Genomic DNA, 13,857 nt, shown 5'->3' on the forward strand with positions numbered 1-13,857 from the left:
TGATCTGCCCACCTCAGCCTCCCAAAGTGCAGGGATTACAGGCATGAGCCACTGCACTCAGCCTTACCGTGCATTTTAGAGGATTCACATGTAAACAAACTTCACTTTCCTCAGTGTATTCAAATATATAAGTTAATTACTTGCCATGCTACACAGAAAGGGAAAAGTTCTGTAGATAGCTGGCAAGAATATACCATGGAAAAACAAAAGGAAGATAACACTTTCTAAGTTATTCCAATTATTTTTTAAAAATTGTGCTGTGGAAACAACATACATATCTATCAATGGAGGACTGGTAAAATGAATTATGGCTCATGACTTTATATCAGAGTACCTGTAATACATTAAAAATAATAATAAAGAGTATATATGGAAATATTTATTAATAAAATGATATACTTTTAATATAGAATTGATTTTAAAATTGGCAAATTATCAATAATAGTGCAAACTGAGTGGAAGTTATATGGGGGTTAATTTTCCTGTATACTAAGTTTTAAATTTTCCAAAATAAAAAAAAGCTAAAGGTAATAATTAGAAAGCTTCCTATGTTCTTATATGGAAATATTTTTGAGATATAATGTGAATAAGAAGAAGTGAGGAACAGAACAGGGTGGGGTGCAATGAAGCAGAAAATGTATTTTATACATGCAAATACATACATTAAAAATTATGAATGATTAAATAACTAAATGAGACCTTTATGGCCCTCATAGAGAAGACAGTCTTAGTTTGAACCATGGAAGGTGGATGATATTTTAACATATGATTGTGGAGTACATCAATATTTGAATGGAAAAAAAAATTATGAGAAAAGTGCCTGGAGTAGGATCATGTATAAAGCACATAGGGAATAGCTAGGAGTTTGGTCTTTCTGGGACATAAGATATGTGAAAGAGACTGGTGGAAAACAGGGTAACAAAGTCAGCTGAGACCAGAGGGTAAGGGCCTGGTGTGCCATGCTAAAGGGCAAGGGCTTTTCTTGGTCACTGTGGGTTTTAAGCAGGGTTTTAAGTGATTAGAATTATATTTTCCAGAGTGACTCTGGCTAGATGTTCAGGCTGACTGCAATGAGGAGAACCTAGAGACAGGACAAACAGAATCTTCTTACAGAGGTCAGGGGATTTGGCCACAGTGGTTTCCAACAACCAATAAGAATGAGGGGAGGGTTAACATGTACATAAATGTTTTAGAGTGAGAGAAGAAACAAAGAACAGTCCTCGAATTTAATGATGATAAGAAGTCATTGATGAATCTATTTTTAAGATATATGAGTGTCTTAGTCTGTTTGTGATGTTTTAACAAAATACCTGAGACTGAATAATTTATAAATGGCAGAATTAATTTCTTACAGTTTTGGCGATGGAAAGTCTAAGATCAAGGCACCAGTATTTGGTTCCTAGTGAGGGCCTTCTTGCTGTTTCCTCATATGGCATGAGGTGTCAGCACACAAAAAGGGGACCTCCCTAGTTTACTCTAAACCTTTTAGAAGGTGGCTAATCCCATTCATGAGGGCACTGTCCTCATGACTTAAACATCTGCTAAAGGCTCCGCCTCTTAATGCTATCATGCTAGTGATTGTCTCTACACATTCCTTTTGGAGGACATTTGGACCTTAGCAATGAACAAGATAGATAAATAATAGAACCCAAAATATTAATTCTGTATACAGATAAGTGTATTAAGAGACTTTCTATGTATATTTTTTCTACAATGACCATAAATTACTTTTGCAACAAAGAAAATAACAATGAAATGTTGACAGTCTTTGGAAGCATTTAGATAGTGAGAACACAAGAAAACATTGCAAAAGCTGTCCACAAAAGCTCTGATTGTTTCAGGGTTTCAGTAAAATCCTTTGAGCTCCATTTCTGCATTTACAGTGTTGTCCTGCCAAGAGTTTTCTTCCATGGCAGCTCTCCTATCTGATTGAAGTTTCATCACTTGTAGATCTATTGATCACACCTAGTGACCAAGACATTAATATGTGAGTCCTTAATAACTTCACATGAAGAAAATGATCCTTATTTTCTACAGCTTCTTCTCATGCTCAGTGTTCTGCAGAGGTCTCTGTTGCTGAATTCCTCCCCAGGCAATTATAATTAAAACGACTAATTGTAATGTGAGCGATTACTATGCAATGTGCCCTTTAACAGTTGATTTACATACATTAATTACAAGAATTCTCACAATGACTCTATGGCATCTTTGCTATTATTTTCCTTATTGAACTTAGGAAGAAGCTGATATTTAGGGAGTGTCAGGGACTTGTCCATAGCAAGCCAACCAATAAGGAGTGAGGCATATATCACTCCAATCTTCATATCTTTTTGACCTCTCTAGAATGGGATTGTTTAATCTCTTTCCAAGAAACCATATGCTAAATGATTCAAAGTTTCATGGACAGCACAAGTGTCCTCCAAAAAATTACTAATATAATTCATTCTATGTGATTTTTAGTAAAATGAAATTATGAAAAGTCAGAAGACTAGTGTTCCAGTCCTAGGTCTTCTAGCATGTATATAGGATAATCACTTCATCTTTTTGGGTCTTCGAGTTCTCTCACACAATAATGGGTTAATACTTGACTATTTATATCACAGTGCTGTTAGTAGTTACAAAGATAGCTCTGTGAAAGTTTTCCATAAACCATAAAGTGCCTTAAAATTATCCAGATTCTCCTAAAAGCCTCCTTGCTTTTCTGTCCTCCACCCCCAGGAGAAGAACATTCCAAGTCTATTTCTAGGGGAGTGCCTGCTCTCTAAAATGAAAAGTATTTATAAAAGGCAGGACTCTGAACTATTGTTCCCCCTATACAGGATTATGCTTGTAAATTACTCCTAAACCTTGGATGAAAAGAGAGATTATAGTATTAATGGTCTTACTTTTCAAAATACTACATTTTTGGTTGAACCCAAAGGTTGAAATGCTAAAAATCATACCAGGGAATATAAGGTTTCTAGTAATTTTTTTTTTTCAGGAAAAACAAACAGCCCGTTTGTTTTCAGCCACTTCCAAGCTCCTATATCTATGTTTTCATTTATTCAACATTTTTGAAAGCCTACTCAAGTGCCTCATAGCCCAGTGCTTAAGTAGGCAGGAATATATAATATTCATCTTGGCTTGAGATAGGGAAAGGAGCTCTGGGTGGATTGAATAGGATGTACAATGGCTTGGATGCAAAACAGAGCTTAGAGTGTTTAGAGAACTGAAAGTAGATCTGGAGAATTAGGGTGAGATCAGCGGATTTTCCAATGACATTCAAGCACTAAAGAGTCAAAGCCCTTGTATTATATGTTGAAATTTTTGACTTTATCTTCAGGATAATGAGGAGTCATTGGTGGATTTTAGGCATAAACCAATTTTTATATTTTTCAAATATCACTGTAGTTACCATGTAGAGAATAATAGATTGGATGGATGAAGTCACATTTGTCCCCAGATTTCTCCTGTTGCAGCCTCACTTACTGCTTTTTAAAAAAATTTACTTTGCTGTGATATAATTTACATAAAATGTACCCAGTTCAAATGTACAGTTATGCACCTAGAATAATATACATGCCACCACAATCAGTATATAGACTAATTTCATCACCTGTAAGTTCTATCCTGCTCACCTACTATCAATCTCTTCCTTCTCCCCTCAGCCCTCACACCCAGCTCTAAAGAAGGAACCACTGATAGACCTTTTGTCACACTGGATAGCTTTGGTTTTCTAGAATGTCACATGAATGGCATCTTAGGAGAAGTATTCTTTTGAATCAGGTTTGTACTCAGCACAATGCTTCTGAGATTCACTCACATTGTTATGTATATTACTAGTGCATTCCCTTTTATCATGTATAATATTCTATTTTATGGATAGGTCACAATTTGTTTTCTCCAATTATGTGTCTATGGGCATTTGGGTTATTTTCCAGTTTCCAGCTATTATAAATAATGCTTCTATGAACATTTGTGTATAAGCATTTGTGTAAGTATAAGATCACATTTCTCTTGCAGAAATACCTAAGATGAAATAACTAGGACATTTGGTAAGTAAGAGTTATATTTAACTATATAAATAATTACAAAACTATTTTCCAAAGGGATTATGACATTTTACATTCCCATCAGCAACATGAGGGTTCCAATCATTCCACACCCATATCAACACTGGATATTGTCAATCCTTCTAATTTTGGACATTCTAGTGGGTATGTAGTGTGTAGTGATATCTCATTAAAGTTTTAATTTGCATTTCTCTAGTAACTAATGATGTTAAGCACCTTTTTATGTACTTTATTGCCATATATCTTCTTTGGTAAGTGTATATTAAAATCGTTTGCCTCTTCTCTGATTGGATTCTTTTGTCTTATTATTGCATTGTAAGGCCTTTTTTTAAACATATTCTTAGAAATGTGTATTGCAAACACATTCTGCTAGTCTGAGGCTTACCTCTTGATTTTTTAAACTGGTGTCCATGAAAGAGTAGAAAGTTTAAAAGTTTGACAGAATTGGACAGCACTGGTCTGAATAGCTAAAAGACAGAGATTGATACATGGATAAAATGTAAGATCTGATATGTTGGGTGGAAAGGTACACTTTAAATATAAACATATAAGTAGTTTAAAAGCATACGGATGGGAAAAGATACATATGCAATGGAAGAATAAGAAGACTGGAGTGACTTTTTAACATGTGATAAAATGGTTCCCAAGACAAAAATTATTAATAGAGATAAAGAGGGTTATTTCATAATGATAAAGGAAACAATGTATCAGGAAGACATAACAATTGTGAATGTATGTGTACCTAATTACAGAGTTTTGAAATACATTAAGAATAAAACAAAACTTTATCTAATTAAAAGAATAACTAGGCAATTTCACAGTTTTAATAAAAGATTTTAACAGTTGTCCTATGGTAACATAAATCAGTACATGGCTTAAATCTAATTAATTTTCACTGACCACTAGACCCAGCCACTAAAAAAATCCCATTTTCTGACCATAACAGACCCTAATCAGGAATTAGTCAAAATAAGATATCTAGAAAAACCTCTCACATAACTGGAAATTTTAAAATACACTTTTAAATAATTCATAGGTCAGTTAACTTTTAACAACTTTTTGTATAAATGTTTAATTATTTTTTAAGAAAGGACACATGATACAACTTTCCACAACGTTTTCACAGAGTTATTTTGAGTATGAAGTGAGGTAATGAGGATAACATTGTTTTAGCCAGGTGCGGTGGCTCACTCCTGTAATCCCAGCACTTTGGGAGGCCAAGGCAGGTGGATCACGAGGTCAGGAGTTCAAGACCAGCCTGGCCAACATGGTGAAACCCCGTCTCTAGTAAAAATATAAAAGTTGGCTGGGCATGCTGATGTGCGCCTGTAATCCCTGCTACTCAGGAGGCTGAGGCAGGGAACTGCTTGAACCCGGGAGGCGGAGGTTGCAGAGAGCCGAGATTGTGCCACTGCACTCCAGCTGGGCAACAGAACGAGACTCCCTCTCAAAAAAAAAAAAAAAAAAAAATTGCCACATATTTGATGAACAACAATCAGTACTGTCTTTTCTGGTATGCAACAAGTAACTTGCTGCATACAAAAGGAGTTAACAATCCCTGACCGGCATAAAGTGTTCCTTTATTTTACCCCTATGTTTCTGTCCTACTTCAGGTTCACTCATTGCGTATGACTGGTAGGGTTATGTCCAACTATAATCTATTTTATTTAATGTAAAATTTATAAGACATTGTACTCAGACCTTGACCTATTTGAATATAATCCATGTGACCAAACTCCAAATCAGGTGCTATTGTGACCTTCACTGTGTAAATTATGAGCCAGTACTAAGTCAATGGAATCAGATAAACCAAACTTTGACTATATCACATCAATTTCATAATGTCTAATATTGGTTTAGTTACTTAACTTGCATCAGCATCAATGCTTTCATCAGGAAAATTTCTGTTTGATTGACAAAAGAGGTCATTTTACAGACAAACTAAATACAGGTCTCAAAAGGTAGTCTGGGGAAATTCCATCTTTCAGAATCATTTGTCTAAGCTGTAACTAATCTTGAGAATAGCAGAGGAGACATTCTTTTCCCCCACATATACCTTCAGAGAGATATGAGAGAATTAGTGATGATATGGACTTGGTCCTTGAAAAAAAAAAAAGAAAAAAACAAAAACAAAAACAAAACAACAACAACAAAAACCAAATGAGTGAAAATGTCATAATTTTGCAAAGACAAGAAGGAAAATGCAATGATGGCTGTATGATAGATGCTGCCATATACATGTGGTAGAAGCTTGCTGGCACTTAAATGTAGATATCAGTGTACCATAAATGAAGAAAAGCAACAGCTCTGCTAGAATTTCTAGAAAAATTACATCAAATGTGTGGGCTTTCATTACAACAGGTTGGCAGCATGAAAGTTTCTACTTGATTAGCTGGTTTTGTCAAGTAAACACAAATAATAAGAGGCCAGAGATTAGCTGAAGACTAGGAATTTATTCATTTTAAATACTTGTTATATACACAAAATTCTGCTGTGTACTGAGTTTATTATTTTCCGTGATAGACAATACCTGATCTCTTTGTGTTTCAGTAGAAAAGACAAACACTGATTAGATTTATAAATAATAAATAAGACATGAATAAGTAACCAAGTATGCTATGAAACGCAAAAATAGGAGTGGCCTAATTAATAGATATGGTGGAGTTGAGGGAAATGTTTTTTGGTAATCAAATTTAAAATTGGCCTAAAAAGTGAGAATGATATAAACTATTACTGTTATTTTGGCTACAAGAGTTTGGTATACTACAAAGGAAATGGCAATTCATTTTATTATGAGAAATAGTGGAGTTCAAACCCTGATTGCAACTTAAATCTGTGATCAGTGAAAGTTATAAGAAAATTAAGCATTTTTCTAAATGGGAAAACAGGTAAATTCTTTGGATACCACACACCTAGCATGACTTGGAAAATCTAGACACCATTCCAAAGCTTTCTCAATCACTAAATATTACATAATTTTGGATAGGATAGCTAAAACTCTGATTCTTCCTTCTTGAAATTATAAAGAAATAATAATATCATTCTAATGTATTTTATAGAGATATAATCTGGTGAAATAAGAAGTAACCAGATTCCTTAAATACTTGCATAATAATTTAATGAATAGTTGCATAATAATGCAACATATAATTACTATCCTGACGGATGCCATTTTTAAGTTTTTTAAAATTACATGAGAAAATCCTATATTGCTCTCATAGCAGAATCCTGATGGTGTAAGTAATCAGTTAATATTATTTCCTTTCCACTGTCCATTCTCTTTCTTGAGAAGTAAACTATGCGTTCAGACAGAAAATTTCCATGTCAAAAAATGTAGAGAGCAGTCAAAAGCAAATGAGCAGACTTCTTCATGAATATTTAAAATAGCCAGTATGAAAGCACACTTCCATGTGTGCTAATTTCTGTTATTTTAAAAGTCATTTGTGGTTTTAGCTCATGGAGGATGAATCTTAAAGAATTTATTTTCCTGTACAGAATAATCAGGTGGCAAAGAAACAATCAATGAGTGACTATAATGCATTTTGCTACTATCAGCACTAATAAGAGAAAATCTGATTTTCAACTCATAGTAACTAGTCTGATTTTTAAATTAGGGCCTTATTTCCTAATCTCAGAAAATAAGCAAGCTACTCCTTCTCTGTCTCAATAGCTAGCTAGATAGATAGATAGATAGACAGACAGATAATTTTCCTCCTTGTCATACCAATTATAATGACCAATGGTAATTTAAAGCTAAGTTTCCAAAGACTAAACAGTAAGAGAAAGATATTACTGATGCCTGAAAGAATTCTATTGTGCTGTTTCTCTTGGGCCCTAATATATATCCACTGCATAAGAATGCAATATCAGATCTAAATGTGGTATTTCCATTTGCGAGCAGGGCACCAGCTGTCTTCTTAAATTTCCATGCCACTTAATCTAGCTCTAAGTTTGGTTAGCTTTCAATTCACAAAGAAGGCAACAACAACTACACAGGGTCACATTTTCAGCAAGGTCTCTGAGGTAATGAAGTGTACAAAGTATGCTAATAAGGAGAGCAGCTAAGTTAATTCCTTGGGGCAGGTGCAAATACATGGTCCTAGGATCCACTTTTTGGTGCAGTGCAAGAAGCGACCTGTGAATGGGAGGAGTTAACATTGGAAGCCAAGAATTTTAGCATTTTCCAACATTGTTTGGGGATTACCACTTATTACCCTGAAGGTCCACTTCTACCTGCATAATCCTCAAAGGGTCAAACCCTCCGAGATCGTCATCTAGAGAACCACTTGCATCAAAATTATCTGCTGCTTTAGTCATCTATATTCACACAATAAACTAGCAAAAGAGAAAATATTGATATGTCCATTCTAATCACCACCAAGATTTTTCATAGGCTACTTGTACATTTGTCACAGTTTCAAAGTCCTTCATGCCTACACTAAGTCAGAGGAATACAAGGAGATATTTAAATGGGCTTTTAATCAGAGTTTCTAAATAATCAGGTAATTTTGTCAGAATATGATGTAAAGGGTTTGAGATGAGGACATTCCTTGGAAAATAACTTCTCAATTTACTCTGTAATATGCATTTGTCACAGAAGATGGTTTATCAATATTTAAATCACTGAATTAAACCTGTATTACGCAAGCACACACAGAAAATACATGGAAAACAAAAATTCTAAAAGTTACCAAGAAATCATATATCACTCATAGGCATACCTTATGCTATTTTAAGATAATTAAATAGCTGATAGACATAATCTAGAGTAAATCATAGAATTAGAATCACAGAATATTAATGCTACAAGGTATGCTGTTGTGTTGCTCCCCCTTTACCACTCTAATGCTGTGTAACAAAACACCCCAAAACTCAGCGTCATAAAATGACAAAATTTGCTCTCATGTTACTAGGTCACTCGGCATGCCTCTGCTTCAGTTTACTAAGTGTGGGACCGCTAATATTCTGCATCAGGCTGTGAATTGACGGAAGTCTGCCTCATGAGTCTCCTTCTATTACCCCAGCTATCTCGGGATGTTCTAATGACAGAGTTTGGAAGATCCTAGATTGGTAAATAAAAGCATGTGATGTTTCTTACAGCTTAGAGTCAAAATTCTAGCCCTGGAAACTCACACATGGTTACTTCTCCCAAATTCTATTGGCTGAAGCAAGTCCCAAAGAGAAGAAACATACTCTTCCCAAAGAAGTAGGTGGAGGAGTGATTATTGCTGAACAAAAAGTGATTCTACTCAAGCTGTAAACAGTAGCCAAATTCATTATTTTATGGAGAGGAATCAGAACATTTGTTGTCTGTGTGTGTGTGTGTGTGTGTGTGTGTGTGCGCGCGCATGTGACAGAGAGGCGGGGAGAGACAGAGAGAGAGAGATCCAAGGGCTTGCTACGTGTTAATTTCAGAACTGGAATAATAACAATATACTTCATATTTTTAAAGGGGAAATTCCACTCTACTTTAATACAATGCTCTATATTCTGTACCCACATGGAAACTGACATTTTTACTAAGTGATATATGAACAATTGCATATTCACTATTCACTGGAGGATGCAAGAGTATATTTTCAGGGTTTTTAAAAACTGATAGTTTCTTCCTCCATACCCAGTAGACACACACACACACACACACACACACACACACACACACACACGTCCACATATATACAGTAGAGGGAGGGAGGGAGGGAGGGAGGGAGAAAGAGAGAAAAAATACAAATGTAGAAATGCAATTATTTAACAAATTTAAGCTAAGCCAGCTCTAACTGAGTTTGGAGCTGCAGTTTTTTTCCAGGAGCTTAGGAATTTCACGAACAAAATGGAAGCTGACAGGTGATCCCCTTAACAAGTTTGTCATTGTTTAACATGAATGTGAAGTTTAGATTGGTAATCAAGGCAATAAACCTAACGGAGCCAAGAATTTGTGTTCCTTCTTCTTCAGTAAGGATGGAAAACAATTTTTTTTCATTTACGTGACCCTTTTTTTTACTCTCAGGAAAGGAGGATATGCTGATAAGATACGTTAATCAGAAGCTATGGGAAGTAAGGACATTTTCTTTCTTGACATTATCCTATGAATATCAGAAAAGGAATTACTATTACAAAAAATACTATTACAGCTGTGACTTGTGATATGTACTGAACAGCCTGTAAATCTCACCTCACGTCACTCCGGAATTCTCTCACCACACATTTACTGAGCTGCAGATGGTCTTCTTGCTTTCCCGATGGCAGATATCTCTAAACTGTTGGAATTATCCAACACTTAACTTTTTAAACAAGTTTTCAAAAACTTCCTACAGATTTTTTCTTTAGTGCAATGAATGTAGAAAAAGACATATAGTTCTCCCCAAGTGCCCTAAGCAAAGCAATCCACTTTGGTTGAGAGCTGTTATGTTGGTTATTAAAGAAGACAGAATATAGAATCACATTTATGAGGCAAAAGGCAAACTTACACTTTCTTGACAATAATGACTCTACTCTTTTTATAATTTTATGTTGTGTTTCTTTCTATTTTATGTTTTGTTTTTTCATACATTTATAGTGCAATACCATGGAGTTTATCTGCCAAATATTTTCCTTGCTTTGAGTTTCCACTAAATTAATGGGAAAATAAACATCCTCTAGTAGAAACCCCTACATGCTCCCCATAGGCATAACTATTAATTTTTCCTCTGCAGGCATTTAAATTAATATTTTCTGCTCATGAAAAGGGAGGGGTGGCTTAAAAGTCTTTAAGACAAAATTGGCCTTTCTGTAGCTAAACATAAAGAAAATCTCTTCTTTTTCTTCTCTGTCTGTAGTTTGCCTTCATCTCTCAACATAAATAGAAGAGTTAATTGGGAAGAATAAAAGAATCCTTTTTGATATGGCAACAAAAGGAATGCAGAAGGAAATGATGGAAAAGCCAGTGTTTTTACTTTTTATTAGCTTTGTTATTTATGAAACCGTTTTAAAGAAATGTGTTTTCCAAAGGAAGGAGGCCAGACACCCACTACTGCTTCTAGCATACCTACACTGTATTGGAAAACAGAAAATGAATGGGTTTTGGAGTCAGACATTTCCATTTCTGCAAATGACAAACTATACGACCTTGAGTGAGTTATTTAATCTCTATAAGTTTCGATTTCTTTCTTTGGAAAAACAGGGATAAAATAATACCTATTTCATAGACTTGTTATGAGCATTAAAAAATATGTGAAGTGCTTGGTCCTTGGTGGTACTTGGTGGGTACTTGGTCCTTGGTGGGTACTCAGTAAATGATAGCATTTACTATTTGGAAAATGATAATACATGGCAAGCAAAAATAGTTAAACATTTGGAGTAAAAAACAGATCTAGGTTAAAATTCAGCCTCCCTCAAGGCTCCCTGAAGGACTACTGGTGAATTTAGCCTGCATAAGACTTAATTTCTGGATTTTTGTAGGGTCAGAGGGTTTCAGGAGACTTGCTGGCTCTTGGACCCTTGCTTGGTACACAGTTGTTATTAGTAAGCGATACCCATTAATACAGTAGTAGTGGTGGAAGTCATGGTAGTAGTACTCATAGTGACCCTATGAAAATTTTTATTTAATAAAATTATTATAACTTAGTTTTCCTAATGTAATATTTTAGACCCCTTTCCAGACAAAAGTACAGTGAAATCTTTCTAAGAATCCCTCTTGAAACCACATTTCTCTTCTGACACCTTAACAATCCCCAAACACATGCACTACTACAAGAGAACACTTGCAGGAGTGTCTTTGACCCCCTGTGTTAGTCTCCGTACTGTATATACACACAGACAGAGATTTATTTTAAGGAATTAGCTAATAGGATTATGGAGACTGGAAAGTCCAAAATCTACAGGGTGGGCACACAAGCTGGAGACCCAGGAAGAGCTAAAGCTGCAGTTCAAGTCCAAAGGCCTTTGCTGCAGAATTCCATTTTTTTTTTTTTTTGCTTTGTTTAGCCTTTAATTGATGAGATGAGTCCAGTTCACATTAAAAAGGGCAGGCTGTTTTAATCAAAATCCATAAATCCAAATGTTAATCTCATCCCCTAAAACTCTCACAGAAACATCCAGAATAGTATTCGACCACATATCTGGGCATTGCTGCCTAGACAAGTTGACAAATGAAATTAACCATCACACATGGCTATCCCAGTCCTAATGGGATAATCTCTTATTGGTGGGGGAGGACTCCATGCACAAGAGGTCCCTAGGGTATCAGAAAGGAAGGGGTCCAGTCTATTTCATCCTTTGCCTTCTTGACTTAACTTCCATTTTCCTTTAACCTTCTGGGGAATATCATGAAAAGTGAAATCTCTTTGGAGAAAACCCAGACATTTAAAATTTGATAGGTAAGGTTGCAATATAGAAGAAAGAGTGTTCCTGTCTTCTAGACATTCAACTTCCTGGATCACCTGCTCATCCCCTGACAATCCATGCCACCTTCCAGAGTATAAAGATCTGTGACATTGCTCTTTCAACATCCTGCAAGAAGGCAACTTGTTGTAATAATTTATATTTTGGGCCACTAATCTTATATTCTGCTGCTTATCTAAGAAGGTAATTTATATGTTCCAGCAGGGCAGACATGAAATAAATATTATTTCTATTTAGAGGAAATGAGTAGAAAGAATGTACAGAAAGAATATCTTTTTGGCTGACACAATTCTTAATGTTTCTTCAAATGCTGTTAATATTGGTAATTTAACTGACCAAATTTGTCTTTTTGATTGTTTTTATTTAAGGAAGAAGAAAGGCCCTTTTTGTATAAATAATACCAACAAAGCTAATATTTTTTAAAAAAGAAATTCATCCAAAACCAGTGTATCTCTTTATATATTAACTTTAAATAATTGGTTTGATTGATTTCCCCTCTGCCACCTTGAGTTGATTATATTAATTTTAGATAATATCATTCCCAAACTTTAATCCAAGGACAATTGTAGGATTGGCTGCATAAGAATCACCTTGGGAGCTTTACAATAAATACACACTCTTGGTACCTATTTCCAGTCCTTCAGATTCAGAAGGCCCTGGCGCAGGAATCTTTAACAAAGGTCAATTTACACTAATGGCGACAGTCTTAAATTTGCCACATCTAACCCCAAACTGGCCACTCAGATGATAGATTTCTATAGTTTCCTTTGGATGTCTTGCTCTGATCACCTTGGTGATTTTTCAGTCAGATTACTTTATCCATCCTTATAATTTAGCATGTATAACACTGGAACAATTTCAGAGCACTGGCTTCTAAGTCCATGGGGCAAGTGGGATCTGTGGGGAAAATATACATTGAAGATTACTCTTTCTTTCTCCTTTTCTATTTGTTATGATTATTGATGTCTCTTTCTATATGTGTTCCCCAATATGGCAAGTGAGTAAATGAATGGATAAACAATGACACCATATCCTAAATAGGAGGAGGAATCCTGAGAAGGGACTAGATTTGAGTGCCCTGGTGGACCATACTTGAGCCTTATAAACTCTAGCTTCTGATAAGGGGAATACTGTGGCATTTCTGAGCTGAGTTAGCAGAGCCTATCCAGGGGCTGTCTCTGCAAGGCCTAGAGACACCCTTGTTATATAAGCCCCTGACATGACCAAAGAAGTTGCGTCTCCTATTCCTGCTGTTGTCAATCAATTTTATTGGCTCCATAGCTACAGGTCTCAGCCCCTAAATCCAGCCAGTTGTTTAGCTAACTCTTGTTATTAGTCAGAAATCGAAGGTGAGAGATGTGGATCTGTGCAAACCTCTTTTCCAACAATGAAATGGAGGAGGCAAAAGTGAAAAAACATGCAAACC

General features: G+C 35.5%; 1 annotated feature.

The window, feature by feature from the left end:
- Positions 3,495–3,996: an enhancer, noted in NCBI's record as "NANOG hESC enhancer chr7:124085682-124086183 (GRCh37/hg19 assembly coordinates)". NCBI's record gives its function as "activates a minimal SCP1, AML or CMV promoter by ChIP-STARR-seq in primed H9 embryonic stem cells {active_cell/tissue: H9 hESC(primed)}" and the evidence as "EXISTENCE:reporter gene assay evidence [ECO:0000049][PMID:30033119]".

Source organism: Homo sapiens, chromosome 7 (genome assembly GCF_000001405.40).
Source record: "Homo sapiens chromosome 7, GRCh38.p14 Primary Assembly".
Classification (NCBI taxonomy): Eukaryota; Metazoa; Chordata; class Mammalia; order Primates; family Hominidae; genus Homo; species Homo sapiens.